Source organism: Homo sapiens, chromosome 2, assembly GCF_000001405.40.
Source record: "Homo sapiens chromosome 2, GRCh38.p14 Primary Assembly".
Classification (NCBI taxonomy): Eukaryota; Metazoa; Chordata; class Mammalia; order Primates; family Hominidae; genus Homo; species Homo sapiens.
This window is the reverse complement of record NC_000002.12, coordinates 31,948,274-31,970,221: the sequence shown is the minus strand read 5'-3', so window position 1 is coordinate 31,970,221 and position 21,948 is coordinate 31,948,274. Positions and strand designations below refer to the sequence as shown.

Sequence of the window (21,948 nt, the reverse complement as noted above, 5' to 3'; positions counted from 1 at the left end):
GAGGTGGCGGATTGCTTGAGGTCAGGAGTTCAGACCAGCCTGGCCAACATGGTGAAACCCCATCTCTACTAAAAATACAAAAATTAGCAAGGTATGATGGTGCATGCCTGTAATCCCAGCTACTCAGGAGGCTGAGACAGGAGACTTGCTTGAACCTGGGATGGGGAGGTTACAGTGAACTGAGATGGCGCCACTGCACTCCAGCCTGGGCAAGAGAGCAAGATTCTGTCCCCGTCCCCTGCCAAGAAAAAAGAGAAAAGTGAACTTGTGTTATATTTATTACAAAAGTAATTCAGGTAAGTTATAGAAAATTTAGAAAATACCGTGGCCAGGCACAGTGGCTCACGCCTATAATCCCAGCATTTTGGGGGGCCAAGGTGGGAGGATTGCTTGAGACCAGACTGGGCAATATAGTAAGATCCCTTGTCTTAAAAAAAAAAAAAAGTTAGTTGGGTGTAGTGATGCATCCCTGTAGTCCCAGGTGCTTGGGAGGCTGAGGTGGGAGGGTTGCTTGTTTCCAGGAGTTTGAGGTTACAGTGATTGTGCCATTGCACTCCAGCCTGGGCAACAGAGAGAGCCTGTCTTAAACACACACACACACACACACACACACACACACACACACACACACACACCCACACACACACCCCCAGAAAAGATTTAGAAAGTATAGATAAATATAAAGCTGAAATAAGTCACTTGTTATCCTAATATCTTTTTTAAACTTTTTTCTGTCTATAAAAATGAGATCATTATACACATATGTGTGATATATATGCGTATACACACACATATATGTATATATACGTGTATATATGTATATACACGTATATATATACACATGTGTATATATATACACGTAACATATATATGTATAATGTGTATATATACACACATATCACACATGTATATATGTGTATATATATTATGTATAAAGCAGGATATATATATATATATAGCTTTGTAGCCTGCTTAAATCACTTACCAGTAAGTCTAACATGAGACTTGGTGCTGAAATATTGGAGATTAGGAATCCTGCCAGAAAGTTTCCTGTGTATTTAATATAGTCTTACTTATCAAATGGCCAGTTGGATATAGTGACTAGATTTTCCTGTGTATGGAATAGACATTATTGGGAAAATTGGTTTGTCCATATCATTTATTTAAAATCACATTATTAGTATTAATAATATATATTATGCACATATGGTAGTCTACTTACCTACTTGTTTGGTATTTTAAACTTCTTAGTTTATCAACCATTTTTTTAACTTTTACTTTAAAATTAACAATTTTATTATAAATATGCTGTAAACTGCATCAGGACTTTTAAAGTATTTTCTAGTTTATGAGAAGAAAGAGTTAAAAATGGAATGGAAGTGTCCTCTTTAGAGAACATATTTACTATCTAAAATTCTGTGATGTCCATCTATGATGGACAACAATGACAAATTTGAATGAAAACAAACAAATAGACATTGAATTGTGAAACAAACGGAACACTTAATTTATATGTTAGGAATTTTCGGGAAAGCATGGAGATTGGAATGCAAGGATATGGACTGAAGAGTAGTTTTGTTGTCAGGGAAACAATTGAAAGAAAAGGAGACCTCCTTTGTAATTAATCTGACACTTCTTGGGGGACTTGTCCTTGTGCAATTTGGTCACTAACAGAACAGAGGCTGCACATTAATTAACTGGACTGTTTGCTACCAGGAGGTGTCCATAATACTAGAAATCTACTCATACTATTAGTAGTGGCAAATAGTTCAGGACTTAGGGAATTCTGGGTCGGGTTATCAGCATGACAGCTCCTGAACATAGTTCTACCATTCCATGGTGGAAGTGTTTGCAGTCAGCCCCACTTGGGTGTAGACATCTTTGGGTCCCTTGGTGTTAGTTGAAGCCAGAAGGAGCTCAGATCTGCAGATGCATCCTATTCCCGTATTTCCCCTACAAAGCATTTTCATCATTCCTTTTTTTATAGATGAGGAAACTGGCTCAGACAGATGTTCATTGGTTTGAGAACGCTCCCAGAAATTCTGCTTCAGTCTTTCTGGGTCAGCCTTTGGAGAGTCTTAATTTTTATTAAGCACAGCAGCTAATTCTATTCTATTTGGCTCTTGACCTACAGATTGAGACACACAGGACTCCTGACTTTTGGTTGGCCATTGTGAGTTTTTACTTCCATTTTTCTTTTTCTCCAGAAAAATGCTTACCCATCATTGCGAGTTTTGATTCTTATTATCTAAGTATGTTGGTCAGTCTCTCATTCTTCCAAGGCCTCAGATGACTCTCCAAGATAATATTTGAAGATAGAGGTTATAATAATTGCACAATAACTACTTTCTGTACTTTACATAAACAATTTTTAAAAAATGCATGTCTGTGTTTAGTGGGGAAAAAACCTCCCACTAAACACAAACACACATTTTCAAAAATCTATTAAGTTTTACTAAGAAATTATACTTTTATTAGGCCGGGCATGGTGGCTCATGCCCTGTTGTCCCAGCACTTTTGGAGGCCAAGCTGGATGGATCACTTGAGCCCAGGAGTTTGAGACCAGCTTGGACAATATCGTGAAACCTTGTCTCTACAAAAAATAATTAGCCAGGTGTGATGGTGCATGCCTGCAGTCCCCAGTTACTTGGAAGGCTGACATGGGAGGATTGCTTGAGCCCGGAGGTCAAGGCTGCAGTGAGTCATAATTATGCCACTGCACTCCAGGCCAGGTGACACAGCAAGACCCTGTCTCAAAGAAAAAATTATACTTTTATTAAAAATAGTTACTGACTATTGGCCGGGCGCGGTGGCTCACGCCTGTAATCCCAGCACTTTGGGAGGCTGAGGCAGGCGGATCACGAGGTCAGGAGATCGAGACATCCTGGCTAACATGGTGAAACCCCATCTCTACTAAAAAATACAAAAAAATTAGCCGGGCGTGGTGGTGGGCACCTGTAATCCCAGCTACTCAGGAGGCTGAGGCAGGAGAATGGTGTGAACCCGGGAGGCGGAGCTTGCAGTGAGCCGAGATGGCGCCGCTGCACTCCAGCCTGGGCAACAAAGCGAGACTCCGTCTCCAAAAAAAAAAAAAAAATAAAATACTGACTATTGACTGGTAAATGATTGGGACCTATTAATATTTCTCACACAGCAATTTTTATTTAATGAAATTATGTCAATAACTACAAAACAGTTTAGTATGGATTACTATTTCTGTCCTTTATAGAACAAAGTCCTGTATTATCCTATATTTATACAAAGCTTTTTTAAATTATAAAAATACTTGGTTATTATAGAAAAAGTTTGAACGTATAGAGATGACAAAGTATTCGTAATTTGACATCCCAGAATAATCACTGAAAGCATATTGGTGTACATCATTTACAAATGTGGCAGTGTTTACTCAGGTTGTTTTCAACATAAATACAATATTTTTCCAAAGATTTTATTTTATCTCCCTTTTTATTTTTTTCATTTTTTTTTTTTGAGACAGAGTCTTGCTCTGTTACCCAGGCTGGAGTGCAGTGGTGCGATCTGGGCTCACTGCAACCTCTGCTTCAGCGGAAGTTCAAGTGATTTTCCTGCCTCAGCCTTCCAAGTAGCTGGGACTACAGGTCGTGCCACCATGCCTGGCTAATTTTTGTATTTTTGGTAGAAAGGGGGTTTCCTCATGTTGGCCAGCATGGTCTTGAACTCCTGACCTCAGGTGATCCCCCTGCCTTGGCCTCCCAAAGGGCTAGGATTATAGGCGTGAGCCACCGCGCCTGGCCAGACCTAGTTTTAATGGCAAATAGTTATTAAAGACAGTTCATACTTACTATTCATCTTTCAGAAGAAAGGTGTCTGCTTCAAACTCTAATGACAGATCACCGAATAACCAGTAGTGGTAACTGACACTGGCTGGTAAGTGAGAACTTAGTAAAATTCTGTTCATCCTAAAATAAGTCTCTATTTAAACAGTGGAGGTATACAGAGCCATTTTTGTAATGTATTATGTGGGAATGAAGGGATGGTAGTTGGAAAGAGGCGCTAACTGCATTTAGACTTGTGAGAATTTTTGCTAGTTTTCTCACTTTTTGAATGAGGAGATTGGGCCAGTTGAGCTCTTGTTTGTTTAGTACTTTAGGAAAGGGTGGAAAGAGTTGGCTTTTAGCAAACATATGTTTAATATGTGTTATTCCATTTAATGCTTAACCACTCCATATAAAGTAAGTGTTTTATCCTCATTTTAAAAATTTTAATTTTATTTTATTATAAGTTCTAAGGTACATGTGTAGGATGTGCAGGTTTGTTGTAAACGTATGCCATGGTGGTTTGCTGCACCTGTCAACCCATCACCTCGGTATTAAGCCCGGCATGCATTAGCTATTTTTCCTAATGCTGTCCCTCCCACAACCCCCTGACAGGCCACAGTGTGTTTGTTCCCCTCCCTGTGTCCATGTGTTCTCATTGTTCAGCTCCTACTTATAAGTGAGAACATGCAGTGTTTGGTTTTCTGTTCTTGCATTAGTTTGCTGAGGATGATGGCTTCCAACTTCATCCATGTCCCTGCAAAGGACATGATCTCATTCCTTTTTATCCTCATTTTTATAGATAAGGAAACTGAAACTTAAAAGAGTTTTGTTTAGGTCACATACCCAGGTATTTCTGGCTTTATCTTCATTTCTTTCCCTTATATTTACTTTGTTCTCATTTATAATATTCTTTCCAACTCTAAAATTGTGGTTCTGTAACAGTGGAAAGAACACTGTAATGAACCCTCATTTACCCCATTTACAAGATTATTATCCTATGGCTGACTTGTTTCATCTGTACCCCTTTATAGTTGCCTCCCAGCATTAGTTTCTCCCACCACATTACTTTGACACAGAACTCACCATTCCCTCCCTCTCTTCCTCCCTCCGTCCCTCCTTCCCTCCTTCCCTTCTTCCCTTCCCTTCTCTTCCCTTCCTTCCCTCCCTTTTTTCCCTCCCTTTCTTCCCTTCCTTTCCTTTCTTTCTTTTTTTTGATGGAGTTTCGCCCTTGTTGCCCAGGCTGGAGTGCAATGGTGCGATCCTGGCTCACTATAACCTCTGCCTCTCCGGTTCAAGCGATTCTCCTGCCTCATCCTCCCAAGTAGCTGGGATTATAGGCATGCACCACCACTCCCGACTAATTTTGTATTTTTAGTAGAGACAGGGTTTCATTATGTTGGCCAGACTCGTCTCAAATTCCTGACTTCAAGTGATCCACCCGCCTCAACCTCCCAATGTGTTGGGATTACAGGGGTGAGCCGCTGCACCCAGCCTCACCATATCATTTCATCTGCAGACATTCCAGTATATAGCTCTAAAAGAAACTTGAACACCTGTGAAAAGAAGGGAATACAAATAAAAAAAGAAACTATTTTGTAAAAATTTAAAACATAACCACAATACTATTATCACTGTAAAAACAACAGTTCCTTCCTGTCTACTCAGTGATTTTTATTTAATTTTAATTTTAATTTTTATTATTTATTTATTTATTTGTTTTTTTGAGATGGAGTTTCGCTCCTGTTGCCCAAGCTGGAGTGCAATGGCGGAATCTCGGCTCACCGCAACCTCCGCCTCCCAGGTGCAAGTGATTCTCTTGCTTCAGCCTCTGGAGTAGCTGGGATTACAGCCATGCGCCACCACACCTGGCTAATTTTTTTTTGTGTTTTTAGTAGAGACGGGGTTTCTCCATGTTGGTCAGGCTGATCTCGAACTCCTGACCTCAGGTGATCCACCCGCCTCGGCCTCCCAAAGTTCTGGAATTACAGGCGTGAGCCACCGCACCCGGCCTACTCGGTGATTTTTATAATTTCTTTTTAAACTGCTTGAGATTCATGTAAGACCCCATACATTTTAATTAGTTGGTATGTCTGTTAAGTCTTTAATCTACACATTTCACCTCTATCTCACTTTCTCGTTTTCTTGCATTAAAAAAAAAACTGTGTTTGTGTGTGTGTTTGTGTACGTGTATGTGTATGTATAAAGAAACTGGGTTTTGACTTTCAGACATCCTCATACCGTGGAGGCTGCGATGGTGTTCAACGTTTTTCTGTCTCATGTATTTTATACAATTTGGTAATTTGATTTAGAGTATTCCTGTCTAATATAACGTAAGCCATAAATTTAAGCCATATATAATTTGAATTTTTCCATATATACTTTTTTAAAAAGTGAAAAGAAACGGGTAAAATTGGTTTGAATAATACTTTTATTTGACCCAGTATATCCACAATGTTATTATTTCAACATATAATCAATGAAATTAATGAAGTATATTGCATTCTTTTTTTGGTATGAATCTTAGAAATTTGGTGTGTATTTTATACTTATAGCACATCTCAGTATTAGCCACATTTCAAGTACCCAGTAGCAGTATGTGGCTAGTGACTCCTGTATTGAACAGCACAGATTTAGAGAACTGATCAGTCAGGCTTTTTGTTTTTATGTCAGGAAATAGAGAATGCCTGACTCTCTTGGTGTGGTGCTATTGGCAGCCATTCATGAACATTGTTTTTATCTATTGATTTATTAGGGCTTGCAAAGTGGTGATATTTTATCCTTCTACCTTCATTTATTATCTATAATACTTATCTAAAGGAATACTTCCCAACCTTGACTATTTGGTCACACCCCCGTCACCTGCCAAAAAACCCTACACAGTTCATATAGAAAAAGGATAAATAATGCTTGACCTTTTTCTTTTATTTACCAGTTTTCCAAATAATGAATTTGTTTCCTACCATTGTCCAAAAGTAACTGGGGAATATTTTGTTTTCACCTGTCATAGATATTTTAGCTTTCCTTGCTTCTTGGAGTATTAGTCAGTGTCCTTCAGAGAAACAGAACCAGTAGGGTATGTGTGTCTACACCTTTATAACTATATTTGTATCTATATCTATCTGTATCCCTATCTGTAGATCTGTTTATCTTCAATATAGAAAGAGATTTATTTGGAATTGACTCATGCCATTATGGAGGGCTGACAAGTGCCAAGATGTGCAGTCAGCAAGCTGGAGACCCAGGAGAGCTGACGGTGCGGTTTCACTTTGAGTCTGAAGCCCTAAGAAATGGGAGAGCTAATGGTGTAGTTAGAGACTGAGGATGGGTTGGTTGACTCAAGACTTAGGAAGAGCCAGTATTTCAGTTTGAAGGTGAAGGCAGAAGAAATCTGATGTTGTTGCTTGAAGGCTTAGTCAGGAGGAATTAGTTCTGTCTTACTTGGGGGAGGGTCAACCTTTTTGTTTTAGGCAGGCCTTCAACTGATGAGGTGGGGCCTACCCACATAGGGAGGATAATCTGCTTTACTTAGTCTGCTGATTGAAATGTTAATCTTATCTAGAAATACTCTCACAGATACATCCAGAAAAATGCTTGACCAAATGTCTGGGCACCCTCTGGTCCAGTTAAGTCAACACATAAAATTAACTGTCACATCCAGGCTCATTTTGTACATTTCCTGCCCTAAATATTGTTGTCAGTCAATGAATGCCCTTTGATGATACTTTTGATGATGAAAACACTTTGAGATTCATACTTTTCAAAGCTTTACTTTTAGTGTTTTTTCATTTGGAAAGGTGTAATTTCTTAAAAGTGATTACATTATCTTATACTTAATTTTTAGATGCCTTTTCTCACTTTTGGGAAGGAGGTTTTTGGTGTTTACTCTGTCAGTGTCATATTGATGTTTGTTTCTGATAAAGTACTTGAGAGAAGCATAGAATGAAAACTTACAGCACAGAGTCATACCTAGTAAAATGGATACACGTGGTTTATAGTTATCTCTCTCTCTCTTCTTTCTTTTCTTTTCTTCTTTTTTGGCAGAGTCTCACTCTGGTTACTCAGGCTGGAGTGCAGTGGCATGATCTTGGCTCACTGCAGCCTCGACTTCCCCAGGCTCAGGTGATTCTCCTACCTCAGCCTTCTGAATAGCTGGGATTACAGGTGCATGCCACCACACCCAGCCAAGTTTTTGTGTTTTTAGTAGAGATGGGGTTTCACCACTGTGTTGCCCAGGCTGGTCTCGACCTCCTGGACTCAATCCTCTCGCCTTGGCCTCCCAGAATGGTGGGATTACAGGTGTAAACCACCATTCCTGGCCATTCTTTGTATCAACCTGAACAATTTTACCTCTTAGTATAACAACTGAATTACAGACGCAATTGAGTTTATCCTCTTCATTTTTTTTTTTACAGAAAAGGAAACAGAGGGCCAGATCTAGTTATTGGGAATGACTTGGTCTTAGAGTCGTCAGCATGCTATAGTGGGAGTTCAGAGCCAGACTAAAATGGCTCAGATTCTTAGCATTGCCATTTACTAGTCATGTGACCTTGAGGAAACTTGATTTTTTTGGTTTATTTATAAACTACAGATAATAACTATGTCATAGGATTACTGTGACAGTTAACCAGGATAACTTTTTTTTTTTTTGAGTCAGGGTCTCACTTTGTCACCCAGGCTGCAGTATAGTAGCACGATCTTGGGTCACTGCACCCTCTGCCTCCCAGGCACAAATGATCCTCCCACCTCAGCTTCCTGAGTAGCTGGGGCTATAGGTGTGTGTAACCATGCCTAGCTAGTTTTTTTTTTGTTTTTTTTTAAATTTTTTATAGAGACAGAGTCTCACTGTGTTGCCCAGGCTGGTCTTGAAATCCGGAGCTCAAGCAATTCGCCTGCCTAGGCCTCCCAAAGTGCTGGGATTATAGGCGTGAGCCACCATGGCTGGCCCAAGATAACATATTTTAAAGAACCCAGTAGTGTGCCTGACACATTGTAGGTACACTGTAAATTCTGTTTTTTTCATGTCCTCCCAGATTGCAGTTTTTTCTGGCATATTGTTGCCTCTTTTTTTTTGATGGAGCCTTCCTTTATCACCCAGGCTAGAGTGCAATGGTGTGATCTCGCTCACTACAACCTCTGCCTCCCAGGTTCAAGCAGTTCTCCTGCCTCAGCCTCCTGAGTAGCTGAGATTATAGGCACTTGCCGCCACACCCAGCTAATTTTTGTATTTTCAGTAGAGAGGGGGATTCCCCATGTTGGCCAGGCTGGTCTCGAACTCCTGACCTCGAGTGATCTGTCCGCCTTGGCCTCCCAAAGTGCTGGGATTTACAGGCGTGAGTCACTGCACCTGGCCTCTTGCCTCCTTTTTGAATTTAACATCAAGTATATCTAAATTAGCTGAAAATAATATGCTTTGCTTACATTTGTTACTTTGTTTATAGTATTTGCTTAGCAAACTTTTTTCCTTAATAGACTAAAAAAATTTGGTCCTTTTCTGAATTTTTCTGGATGACAGTTACTGAAATTTAAATTGAGAAGATTTGGCCAGGCCTGGTGGCTCACACCTGTAATCCTAGCACTTTGGTAGGCTGAGGCGGGCGGATCACTTGAGGTCAGGAGCTCAAGAGCAGTCTGACCAACATGGGGAAACACTCTCTCTACTAAAAATACAAAAATTAGCCGGGTATGGTGGTGGGTGCCTGTAATCCCAGCTACTTGGGTGGCTGAGGCACAAGAATTGCTTGAACCCCGGAAGTGGAGGTTGCAGTGAGCCAAGATCACACCACTGCACTCCAGCCTGGGTAATAGAGTGAGACTCTAAATAAATAAATAAATAGAGAAGATTTTACTTTTCATATTGAAGTACTTTATCCAAAGTAACTTTTGTTATTATATCTTAATTTATTGTAATTATTGAATATTAGTTACAAATAGTTCTTAATCATATTTTGTGTGTTAGCAGGGTACAGTGTAATTATTTTCATGCTTGTGTTTTGCTACAGTAAACAGGATAGTTTAGAAAGGCTATAATTAATAGATGTTCAAAAGTTGCTTTGATGTCCTTAGATAAAAGCTATGCTTCCAACACCAAATGCTAGTATTTTTAATTATCATTCTCCTTTTTAATTTGAAATAATGGCTTGAGTACTGTAGTGCTAGCTCCAGGATTCTTAGCCTGTATTGTTTAATGTGAATGTGCAGAAAACATTTTAGAATTTTTTTTTTTTTTTTGAGAGAGGATCTTGCTCTATCACCCAGGCTGCAGTGCAGTGGCGTGATATCGACTCACTGCAACTTCTGCCTCCTAGGTCCAAGCAGTTCTCATGCCTCAGCCTCCCATGTAGCTGGGACTATAGGCATGCGCCGCCACACCCGGCTGATTTTTGTACTTTTAGCCAGGCTGGTCTTGAACTCCTGGCCTCAAGTGATCCGCCCTCCTGGGACTCCCAAAGTGCTGGGATTGTAGGCATGAACCACCACACCAGGCCAGAAATGATTAACATTTATCTTTCAAAAAATGCACTTTTAGATTCAGGTTGTTTGCTATTTGAGTGCAGTTGCAGAAGCATGTTGTCAGATACTTGAATACTGACTTTCCCGTGACATTAATAGATAGCTTTCTTTGTTGTGAGGTATAAAAAATACAATTGCTGATGCCCAAGGTTGTGTTTCATAAGGTAAATGAATTTTATTTGAGGTTCTGTAGACTTCAAATTGGGAGATCCTCGAGGTGATGAAATAGGAAGTTTAACTACCTTCATTTTTTTTTGGAGTAGTTTTCATTTGCTTTCTCCATTTTCTTGTACCTCATCTTGTCTGTAACTACTTGTAAATGCAACTTTTACCTGCAACCCCTGAAAAATAACTGCTCAAAGGCTCCCAATTTCTCATAATCACCAAAATCAATTGATTGGCTTTTTTTTTTTCAGTTCTCATTGTGCTTATTCATTAGAGAGAGTTGGATTCTGTTAATCTTCATGAAAGATCTCATCTCTTTGCTTTCCTTGTACTGTATCTTCTCTTTATCTCTTGAGCTGCACCTCTTTTCCCTTCCTTATTGGCCCAACTTCTTACTTCTCTGCCCAAGTACCTGTATCTCAGGACTCACTTTTTCTAACATTTCTATTGTCATCATCATCAGTCAGTCCACGTTCAGATGGCTCTTATGCATTCTTTTGTCTTTACCACCTTAATTAAATGATTCTGAAATCTCTTGATCCCTTTTCCTGCACTTAAGGCTCACACTCTTACTAATGGGAATATTCAGCTGGTTGCCTTGTTGTCTCCTATAACTTTTGGTGTGTCCAAAATCAAAGTCTTCATCTTAGAACAAACTTCATGGCTTTCCTTGATCTTGTTATTGGTACTGGTATTATTATTCATCTAGGCCCATTTTAATAATCATTGATTCTTTCTCTTATCCCCCTTCAATTTATTTAGGCACACAGTTCTAGTCTAACTTTGTTTAACACAGTTTGGGCTGGGCACGTGGCTCATGCCTGTAATCCCAGCACTTTGTGAGGCTGAGGCAGATGGATTGCTTGAGCCCAGGAGTTTTAGACCAGCTTGGTCAACATGGTGAAACCCCATCTTTACTAAAAATAAAAAATTAACCAGGCGTAGTGTCGCATACCTGTGGTCCCAGCTACTCAGGAGGCTGAGGTAGAAGGATGGCTTGAGCCAGGGAAGCGGAGGTTGCACTCAGCTGAGATCGTGCCATTGCATTCCGGCCAGGGTGATAGAGCCAGAGCTTGTCTCAAAACAAAATGAAACAAAACAAAACAAAACAAAACACCACACACAGTTTGGAGGATGGTGGCTTTTACAAAATTGAGGTTAGTTGATGGGTTATTAGTTCATTTGCTGATTCGGCCTAAGAGCAGGAAGAGGTTCTTATTTCTTAAATAGAAGTTTTGTGGGGACTGTGGTTGAAAAGAAGGTGCCATGGCATTGTAGAATCCTTTTAAAGTTGCTGGTGCTTGGGCATGACTGAGGCTCTGACCTTTTCTGTTATGATTTCCTGTTAGTTGGAGAGGTACCACTTCAATCCAGGCACCTTTTTTACATTAACACGTCTGCTTCAGCGTCAGGCAGTTCATTCCAAAGGGAATGAACTGGAAATCATATCAGAAAAGGTCAGAGCCTCAGTCATGCTCAAGCACCAACAACTTTAAAAGCAAAGTGTTTGGCAGAGTGGATACACACATACAACTCAACTTTTATGGACTGTGCCCTTCATTTCCAAACTTAGTTTTCCCCCTAATTTATCAATATCAGAACCCTCTGGAAAGTCTTTTATTGTGATGGGTGTTATATCTGATTACCTTTTTTTATTCCCCTGCACATCTGAAACCTGGCATGCCCATTTCCCATCACTCAGTCCACAGTAGACATGTTTCTTGGCCAGTTATAAGGGCAGAGGTTGCTGGGATTCTTTTTTGTGCATCTTATGGTTGCTAAATCAGAAACTTTTTAGATGGATGAGCTGGCACTTGCAGTACTAGTGCTTAGTGAAAGAAGGAAACAGACCTCAACATGCCACAACAAATACCCAAAACCAAAAATTGTATCCCATTATAGTTAATTACTTCAGAAGGCAATTTAACTTATCTAGATTATCTGTAAATGCTGACGAAGTCAGAGTGGAGAATAGCTCAAGCCCTTGCTAGACAAATAAAACTGTTGTAACTGTTAATTTTGTTCATTAGAGAAGAATTATGAAGAAAGATATTAATAAGGTGTTTCATGTCTTGACTGTTCTCTAGATGGTTCTTTTCTAGAGTATTTCCATGTTCTCTGCTTCTTTCTACCAGATATTTGGTGATGGATATCATACTTAGGAAAGTAAAGTAAAAGGAGGAAGTTCCTTTTTGCTAATAGGGAAACTTGGTCACATTGGCCCACATATATCTAATTACTGTAATCTATATGTTATTTGTTAAATAGCAATTCTTAAAAGTTTGGTTTTATGCATTTTAACCTAGATTGTTAATGTAGCTATTATCTTAGGTTCAACAATGATTTGTTTTTAGCCAGGTTTAGCATTCAGAGGCCTTTTTCCACATCAGTAGACATATCCCACAGCATCATTGTTTATGACTTCATAGTATTCTGTTATATGATTGCACCATATTTTTTATTACTTAATTTTTTGATAGATAATACATGTACGTAGTGTAAAATACAAACGATCTGAAAGAGTATACAGTGAAAAGCAAAGTGTCTCTCTTTGTTCCCTTTTCAGGATGCAGTAACTGTTACACATTTCTTTTTTTTTTTTTTTTTGAGACGGAGTTTCGCTTTCGTTGACCAGGCTGGAGTGCAATGGCACGATTTCATTTCACCGCAATCTCCACCTCCCTGGTTCAAGTGATTCTCCTGCTTCAGCCTCCCGAGTAGCTGGGACTACAGGCACATGCTACCACACCCAGTTAATTTTTGTATTTTTAGTGGAGATGGGGCTTCACCATGTTGGCCAGGATGGTCTCCATCTCCTGACCTTGTGATCTGCCTGCCTCGGCCTCCCAAAGTGCTGGGATTAGAGGCGTGAGCCACTGTGTCTGGCCTACACATTTCTTTTGTTCCTCCAGAGATATTCTACATAAATACAAACCAATACATAATCATGTATGATATATATGCACACACAAAAATGGCAACGTATTGTACCTTCTGTTGTGTATAATGCGTGTTCTTCCCCCTCAATTAAAAGATGTTCCATAGAGGTTCATAAAATTTTGCTTCATTGTTTTCCGGTTGCTTAATATTCTGGTTTATGAGTCTGCCATAATTTATTTAACTAGTTTATTTTTGACTATTCAATTTTCAGATTGTTTGTTCTGTCAGTTCACCCATGTGCAATCATTACAGCCTCTCTTACCACATTTTACATGGTGTCATCCTCTGGGCTTGATCTGCTTCTCCTGATCAAACTGTGAGTGAAAGCTCTTACAGAAGGAAATCAGTATCACACTGAATAGGGTGAGACAGTGCTTAATGTTTACAAATCTGTTTTGTGGTAGAAATATATGAAAAATAAAAATTCTAACTTTTCATTTTCTCTTAAGAAACTCCTTTTTTTTTTTTTCAAAGAAATTGCATAAGAAGTGCTACCTTGTGTGGGAAGTGTTATCCTAGTCCTGATTCTTTCCAGTCAGGCAGACTTACTTTATTTTTCCACAGATTATGTTTTTGTTTTAGGATTTGAGTACTGAATTATCCTGATTACTACTACTGACTAATTGTAAACTCCAAAAAATGAAGAAAAAAGAAATATGCTAGCTGAATTTGGAAGGAAATAATCATTTCTGTTTAGCTCTGTTTTAGGGAAGTACTGTCGACTCAACTTCAAGCATTTGTGTCACTTGAGGTGGTTGCTTTTTATGGTCCAGATTTATATTTCCCTCACTAGAGTACTGGACCCTTTTGTCAGACGGTAAACATGGTGTTTTTGAAGCCTTCATTTAAATTGGAAATAGGAGCATGGAGGAATATTGGGGCGTTTTGAAATAAACGTGGATGGCCGAGCATGGTGGCTCACGCCTGTACTACCAGCGCTTTGGGAGGCTGAGGCTAGTGGATCACCTGAGGTCAGGAGTTTGAGACAAGCCTGACCAACATGGTAAAACCCTGTCTTTACTGAAAATACAAAATTAGTTGGGCCTAGTGGTGCATGCCTATAATCTCAGCTACTGGGGAGGCTGAGGCAGGAGAATCACTTGAACCCTGGAGGTGGAGGTTGCAGTGAGCCGAGATCGCCCCATTGCACTCCAGCCTGGGCAAGAAGAGCAAAACTCTGTCACAAAAAAAGAAAAAAAAAGAAATAAACATGGATAGTTTTCAATTAGACTAGAACATTCTCATGAATTTTTGGACTAAAACAGAAGATTTTAAAAGATAATTTTGAGTTTAAGTATCACCTAGGGTCTAAGAGTCTGAGTTTTATTTTCTTCCCTTATCAGTGTTATTTGGAAAAGCTGGAGAGGAATTAATTGAAGTGAGTCTAAGAAACAAGGGGGTTACTTAAGGCTTCAAAGTAGCTTGGAGGTAAAATTAATGTGTTTATTTATTGCTAATTTATAGATTATATGATTTCTCAATTACACTGAAAAATCTCAGGTATAAACCTTCCAGGAGTCTGTTAGCTGCATTCACTGAGAATATAGCATGTGCAAATAAACTCCTTTAAGGCAGTGGGCCTCACGTTTGTTTGTTTGTTTTTTGTTTTTTTTTTTGAGACAGGGTCTCACTGCAGATTTGACCTCCTGGACTCAAGCGATCTTCCTGCCTCAGCCCTGGAGTAGTACTACAGGCATGCGCCACCACACCCGGCTAATTTTTGTATTTTTTTGTGGAGATGGGGTTTCACCATGTTGCCCAGGCTGGTCTTGAACTCCTGAGCTCAAGTGATCCTCCCTCTTTGGACTTTCAAAGTACTGGGATTACATGCATGAGCCACTGCGCCCAGTCTCACATTTTAACGTGCAATGGAGTTTCCTGCAGAGGTTGTTAAAAATTCCTGGTTGCCATTCCAGAGATTGTAGTGGCACATCTCTGGGATAAAACCTAGGGATCTTTCTTTTTTTTTTTTTTCAAAACAGAGTTTCGCTGTTATTGCCCAGGCTGGAGTGCAATGGCACGATCTTGGCTTACTGCAACCTCCGCCTCCTGGGTTCAAGCAATTCTCCTCTCTCAGCCTCCCTAGTAGTTGAGATTACAAGTATGCACCACTATGCCCAGCTAATTTTTTATCTTTTTAGTAGAGACGGAGTTTCACCATGTTGGTCAGGCTGATTTTGAACTCCTGACTTCAGATGATCCGCCTGCCTCGGCCTCCCAAAGTGCTGGGATTACATGAGTGAGCCACTGTGCCTGGCTGGGATCTTTCTTAAATAAACACATTACGTGATTCTGGTCTGTAGACTACTTTTTGACTATTATAGGAGTAAGAATTATGATTTTTTTAAAAAAATTAATTTTTACAAGAATAGAGACAAGGTCTTGGTATGTTAAACAGGGGTCTCACTATGTTGACCAAGCTGGTCACGAACTTCTGGCTTCAAGTGATCCTCCCACCTCGGCCTTCCAAAATGCTGGGATTACAGGCATGAGCCACAAAGCCTGGCCAAGAATTATGATTTCTAAAAGGATGAAAAATCATACCCCATTAGTTAAAAAGATTTAAAGGCAGGAGCGTGTAAACATTTTCAGGATTGTGGGTAATTTAAAATAACACCATAGTGCAGCACAGTAAGCTTGGTGTTGAAATTGGTTTGTCTTGTGTGAAGACAGATAGATACTAGTTGTTCCCTCTGTGTTAGTGATGGATAACTTGTGGCTGGCAAGAAGACTCAACAATCATGTGGCTATATGTGTCCCAAGTAGCAAATAAGTATCTTAGAAGTCAAAATACTTTTGTCTTAGAATTTAAGATGGCTTTGATTTTAAAAAATCAGAATATTTAATTTATTTTGAAATACCAAATATCATTGAGGAGTGGGACATTAGATTTTAATTTTAGCAAATGGGAGCATGGGTTAAATGAGTTAATTTTTCAAAATATTTGAAGGAGAGTAGCGAGATTATGGTGAAGTAGGCCTTGTCATGCATCATTTTGAATGGATGCAGTTTTGGATAACATTTTGAATATATGTATCAAAATCTTATAAAGGGGCTGGGCACGGTGGCTCACACCTGTAATCCCAGCACTTTGGGATGCCAAGGTGGGCGGATCATTTGAGGTCAGGAGTTCAAGACCAGCCTGAGCAACATGATGAAACCCCATCTCTACTAAAAATACAAAAAATGAGCTGGACATGGTGGTGCACATCTGTAATCTCAGCTACTCAGGAGACTGAGGCAGGATAGTTGCTTGAACCCGGGAGGCGGAGGTTGCAGTGAGCCAAGATCGTGCCTCTGCACTCCAGCCTGGGTGACAGAGCGAGACTCCGTCTCAAAAAAAGAAAAAAAAAAATCTTATGAAAGTTCGTACTGATTTACATAGTAAGTCCATTTCTGAGAATCTCAAAAGGAAATAATTGTGTTTTTTTTTTTTTTTTTTTGAGACGGAGTTTCACTCTATCACCCAGGCTGGAGTGCAATGGCATGATCTCAGCCCACTGCAACCTCTGCCTCCTGGGTTCCAGCGATTCTCCCGCCTCAGCCTCCTGAGTAGCTGGGATTACAGGTGTGCGACCACCATGCCCAGTGAATTTTGTAGTTTCAGTAGAGATGGGGTTTCACCATGTTGGCCAGGTTGGTCTTGAACTCCTGACCTCATGATCCGCCCACTTTGGCCTCCCAAAGTGCTGGGATTACAGGTGTGAGACACCGTGCCGGCCAGAAATAATCTTAAATATGGAAAAAGCTTTATAAGTATAGATACATAATACAGAATTGTTTATAATAACACAAAAATTGGAAACAACCCAGTGATTTTATATTAATGTTTAAGGAAACAGTGATCCATTCACACAAGGAAATATTATTTAATCATACAGTGTCTTTGAAGAGTTTATAATACAGGGAAATGCTTATATTAGAATGTTATGTAAATAAAAGTAGGCTCCAGAATTATATATCATCTTAAAGACTAGAAGGAAATTTGGAAAATATTAATTTTGGCGATTTTTTAGTAATTATGGGATTGTGGTTCTCCTCATACATATTCCTCAAATTTTCTGTACTGAGCATGCTTTTTTTCTAATGAAAAAATAGCAAGCAAAAATAAATATTTTGATCTTAAAAATAGTTTAGATAAGATGCTATAATCAGATATTATCAAAGTATTTAGTGGCATTTGACAGAGCTAGGAAACTGATTTATAAACAGTGAATAGGGGTGGGAAGAGAGAATCCAAATTAATGGACTGTTACAGGAATCAGTGCTAAACCCATTTTCAGATGAGGTGTTTGTAAATGAACTGGAATAAGTATACTGTGATTCTCCAAATTTGTAGCTCTTTTGGGTACGAAATGCCAATGGAATTGGTTTTAGCTCTGAAAATTTTGAGACTATATATGAACGGACAGAAAAGTAGTAAGTGATTTCCAGTTGGCCAAATCTAAGAGGTGGTTGGTACACACTAAAGATTATTTATTGGGATTGTTAATTGCCCTCTGCTATTGTATTCTGAAATACAGTATAGCCAAAAATGTAAATAAATACTTAAAATATTTACATAAATTAGTAGATAGTAAGGAATCCAAGATATATGGATTTGGCCTAACCTTTGAGGTTTATATAAAGGCGAACAGTCGGTGTTTTTCACAGTGCGATTTTTATTTTAATTTTAACTTTTAAAATTTGTTTTGATTTGATACAGTACTGCTCTGGATAGGTTTTGGATCAGACTTGCTGTGACAGTTCTTGCACTCCCTAAGGTGCTGTACCAAGGGCATGCTATTTTCTGTGTGAGGAGCCCTATCAGATACATAAAAACAAACAACATCCTTTGAGATATATCTAAAAATAGGATATGAATTTTGTAAAAAGCATAGCAATAAATTCCAAGTGTGTGATCATAGTAGAGCATTAGTAATGAGAGAAAGGATTTGGAGGAAGCTGCTGAAATGTTATTTGTTTTTAAAATCAAATGGGGCTGGGCGTGGTGGCTCACACCTGTAAATCCCAGCACTTTGGGATGCTGAGGTGGTTGGGTCATGAAGTCAAAAGTTCAAGACCAGCCTGGCCAAGATGGTGAAACCTCATCTCTACTAAAGTACAAAAATTAGCCGGGTGCGGTGGCAGGCACCTATAATCCCAGCTACTCGGGAGGCTGAGGCAGGAGAATAGCTTGAACCTGGGAGGTGGAGGTTGCAGTGAGCCGAGATCGTGCCACTGCACTTCAGCCTGGGTGACAGAGTGAGAGTCCGTCTCAATAAAAAATAAAAAGATAAAAAAAAAAAAAAACCATTAAGTGAGATTTTGTAGTTGGTAAGGCTTCTCGGAAACACTTTTCATTGTAGTGAGAAGCAGTGGTTCCCAAATGCTGATTTTTGATGAATTTTTCACTGTTCTGCATTGAAATTAAGAATATCAGAACATCATAGTGAGTGGGGTTTTCATAGTGGTAGTATATTTCATGAATTTTAATATGTATGTTTTCCCACACTTTTTCATTTCTGAAATTGAGATGTGTTTTCCAGTCAGTAGCAACTTAAAATTATCATTTGGAAAATAGTTGTCACTGCCTGTTCATATGTGAATTTGGTAGTTAATCCTACTGATATGACTGACTACACAACATCACCCCTTTGATGTTTCAGTCAACATACTAGTTAAATACCAATTACAGAAGGTGTACCATCCCTGGGTTGTTTTCTGAAACCGTCTGTTACATCATTCAGTGATACCTTTTGGTAAGATCAGGAAAGGGACTGCATTGAGACTTGGGCGATATATGTCAGCAGCTTGGAAGACAGTCCCAAAGCAACAGAGAAACACTTTAAAAAAATGTTGAATCATGAATTCTCTTAATGGTATGAAGGACGATACTATGGAAAAACAAGGATTGCTGATGACTCTAAGTAAAAAGCAATTTGATGATCAGATTGTGAATGTTGAGGAAAATTTTAAGAATACCTTATTTATTTTGCTTTTGTATTTTTTATAAGCACAAGGATTATATATTTGTCTGAATAAGTATTTTTTTGTTTTTTAAATTTTTTACTTCCATTGTTTTATTTTTCTTTTCTTTTTTTTTTTTTGAGATGGAGTCTCACTGTGTCACCCAGGCTGGAGTACAGTGTCGTTATCTCAGCTCACTGCAACCTCCGCTTCCCAGGTTCAAGCGATTCTCGTGCCTCAGCCTCCCAAATCTGGGATTACAGGTGTGCGCCACCATGCCTGGCTAGTTTTTTCTTGTGTTTTTAGTAGAGATGGGGTTTCACCATGTTGGCCAGGCTGGTCTCAAATTCCTGACCTCAAGTGATCTGCTTGCCTGGGCATCCTAAAGTGCTGGGATTACAGGTGTGAGCCACTGTGCCCAGCCAAAGAAATACCTTTTAATTGCTTGTTCATTAATAGGTTTTTTTTTGTTTTTTTTTTTTGACGGAGTCTTGCTCTGCTGCCCAGGCTGGAGTTCAGTGCTGTGATCTCTGCTCACTGCAACCTCTGCCTTCCAGGTTCAAGAGATTCTCCTGCCTCAGCCTCCTGAGTAGCTGGAATTACAGGCACCTGTCATCATGCTCAGCTGCTTTTTGTATTTTTGGTAGAGACAGGGTTTTGCCATGTTGGCCAGGCTGGTCTCAAACTCCTGACCTCAGGTGATCCATCTGCCGTGGCTTCCCAAAGTGTTGGGATTACAGGCGTGAGCCACTGCGCCCGGCAATAATATATGTCTGAACAAGTTTAAAAGAACTCTGCCAATAAGTGTAAAATGACATAATTCTAAGCAATAGAAACCATATGTCATAGTTTGAGAGAGGTTTTTTTCCTTCTTAGTGATACTTAAAATAATGGTGCACCCAAATATTGATGGTATCTTTTTAATTTTTAATTTTTATTTTTTGCGGGTACATAGCAGGTATATATATTTATGGGAGGTACATGAGATGTTTTGATACAGGCATGCAATATGAAATAAGCACATTATGGTTCTGCTAATAGTTGCAAGGGAATGGGGTATCCATCCCCTCAATCATTTATCCTTTGAGTTACAAAGAATCCAATCATACTCTAAATTATTTTAAAATGAGCGATTAAGTTACTGACTGTAGCTAACCTATTGTGCTATCAAACAGTAGGTCCTGTTCCTTCTTTCTGGTTTTTTTTTTTTTTTTTTTTGTACCCATTAACCATCTCCACCTCCTATCCAACCCTCCAATACTCTTCCCAGCCTCTGGTAACCATCCTTCTACTATGTCCATGAGTTCCATTGTTTTTTTTTAGATCCCACAAATAAATGAGAACATGCATTGTTTGTCTTTCTGGTGCCTGGCTTATTTCACTTAACATAATGATCTCCAATTCTATCCATGTTATTGCAGATGACTGGATCTCATTCTTTTTTATGGCTTATGTGTATGTACCACTGTTTCTTTATCCATTCATCTGTTGATGGACACTTAGGATGCATCCAATCTTAGCTATTGTAAACTGTGCTGCAACAACCATAGGAGTGCAGGTATCCCTTCAATATAGTGATTTCCTTTCTTTTGGGTAAATACCCAGCAGGAAAATTGCTGGATCCTATGGTAGCTCAATTTTCAATTTTTTGAGGAGCCTCCAAACTGTTCTCCATAGTGGTTGTACTAATTTAGATTCCCACCAACAGTGTATAAGGGCTCCCTTTTTTCCATCTCTTTGCCAGCATTTGTTAACTGCCTGTCTTTTGGGTACAAGCCATTTTAACTGGGGTGAGATGATATCTCATTGTAGTTTTGATTTGCATTCTGTGATCATCGGTGATGTTGAGCACCTTTTCATATGCCTGTTTGCCATTGTATATCTTCTTTTGAGAAATGTCTATTAAGATTTTTGCCCATTTTTGATACAATTATTAGGGTTTTTCCTGTGGAGTTGTTTGAGCTCCTTGTGTATTCTGGTTATTGATGGCATTTTGAAGTTGATGAAATGTGGTTAATTTATTCAGTTTAAAGGATTTAGATTATCTCAAAATCCTGCCTCAGCCTTCCAAGTAGCTGGGACTACAGGTGTGCACCACTACGCCTGGCTAAATTTTGTATTTTTAGTAGAGACGGGGTTTCGGCACGTTGGCCAAGCTGATCTCAATCTGCTGACCTCAAATGATCTACCCGCTTTGGCCTCCCAAAATGCTGGTATTACAAGTGTGAGCCACTGTGCCCTCTTTTGTAATTTTATTGGCCTGTGAAAATCAGAGATCCAGGAACCGCTGTTTAAAACACTCTGGCTTATTCATCTTATTATTTATAGATTTCTCACGATAGATCAGTTTATTTCTTAGTTTGATTTGAACATATTTCACAGAATGATTAATAATGAAATACTGGGTGCCAACGGCCTACTTTTATTTGGCTTTTTATGTGTTGCTTCTTGTTACCTTATACCCAACCATGTGGGATTGAGTTTATTGTGCTAATAGGCAGGTATTACCTATAAAAAAAATGGAAAAAGTTGTGGCAGTTGGTCATTCTTTAAATTACATATGTAGAATAGTTTCAGCAACACTAGA

The 21,948-nt window shown here is 39.2% G+C and overlaps 1 protein-coding gene across 21 annotated transcripts in view; it reads left to right on the top strand.

The window, feature by feature from the left end:
• The window catches only part of MEMO1 (mediator of cell motility 1), a 143,186-nt gene that overhangs the window by 40,787 nt on the left and 80,451 nt on the right, over positions 1-21,948 (top strand). The window contains exons 3-4 of one of the 21 annotated variants that reach the window (NM_001371918.2): positions 13,624-13,775; positions 19,505-19,624. The exons of 18 other annotated variants lie outside the window; for them this stretch is intronic. Coding sequence is in view for 1 of the 3 variants with exons in the window: in NM_001371912.2 (NP_001358841.1) it covers positions 19,505-19,624 (120 nt within the window). In the remaining 2 variants the exon portion in view is untranslated. Of the gene's footprint in view, positions 1-2,134; positions 2,174-13,623; positions 13,776-19,504; positions 19,625-21,948 lie in introns of all 21 variants that reach the window. 2 more of the 21 variants (NR_163995.2, NM_001371912.2) reach the window with 2 other exon arrangements.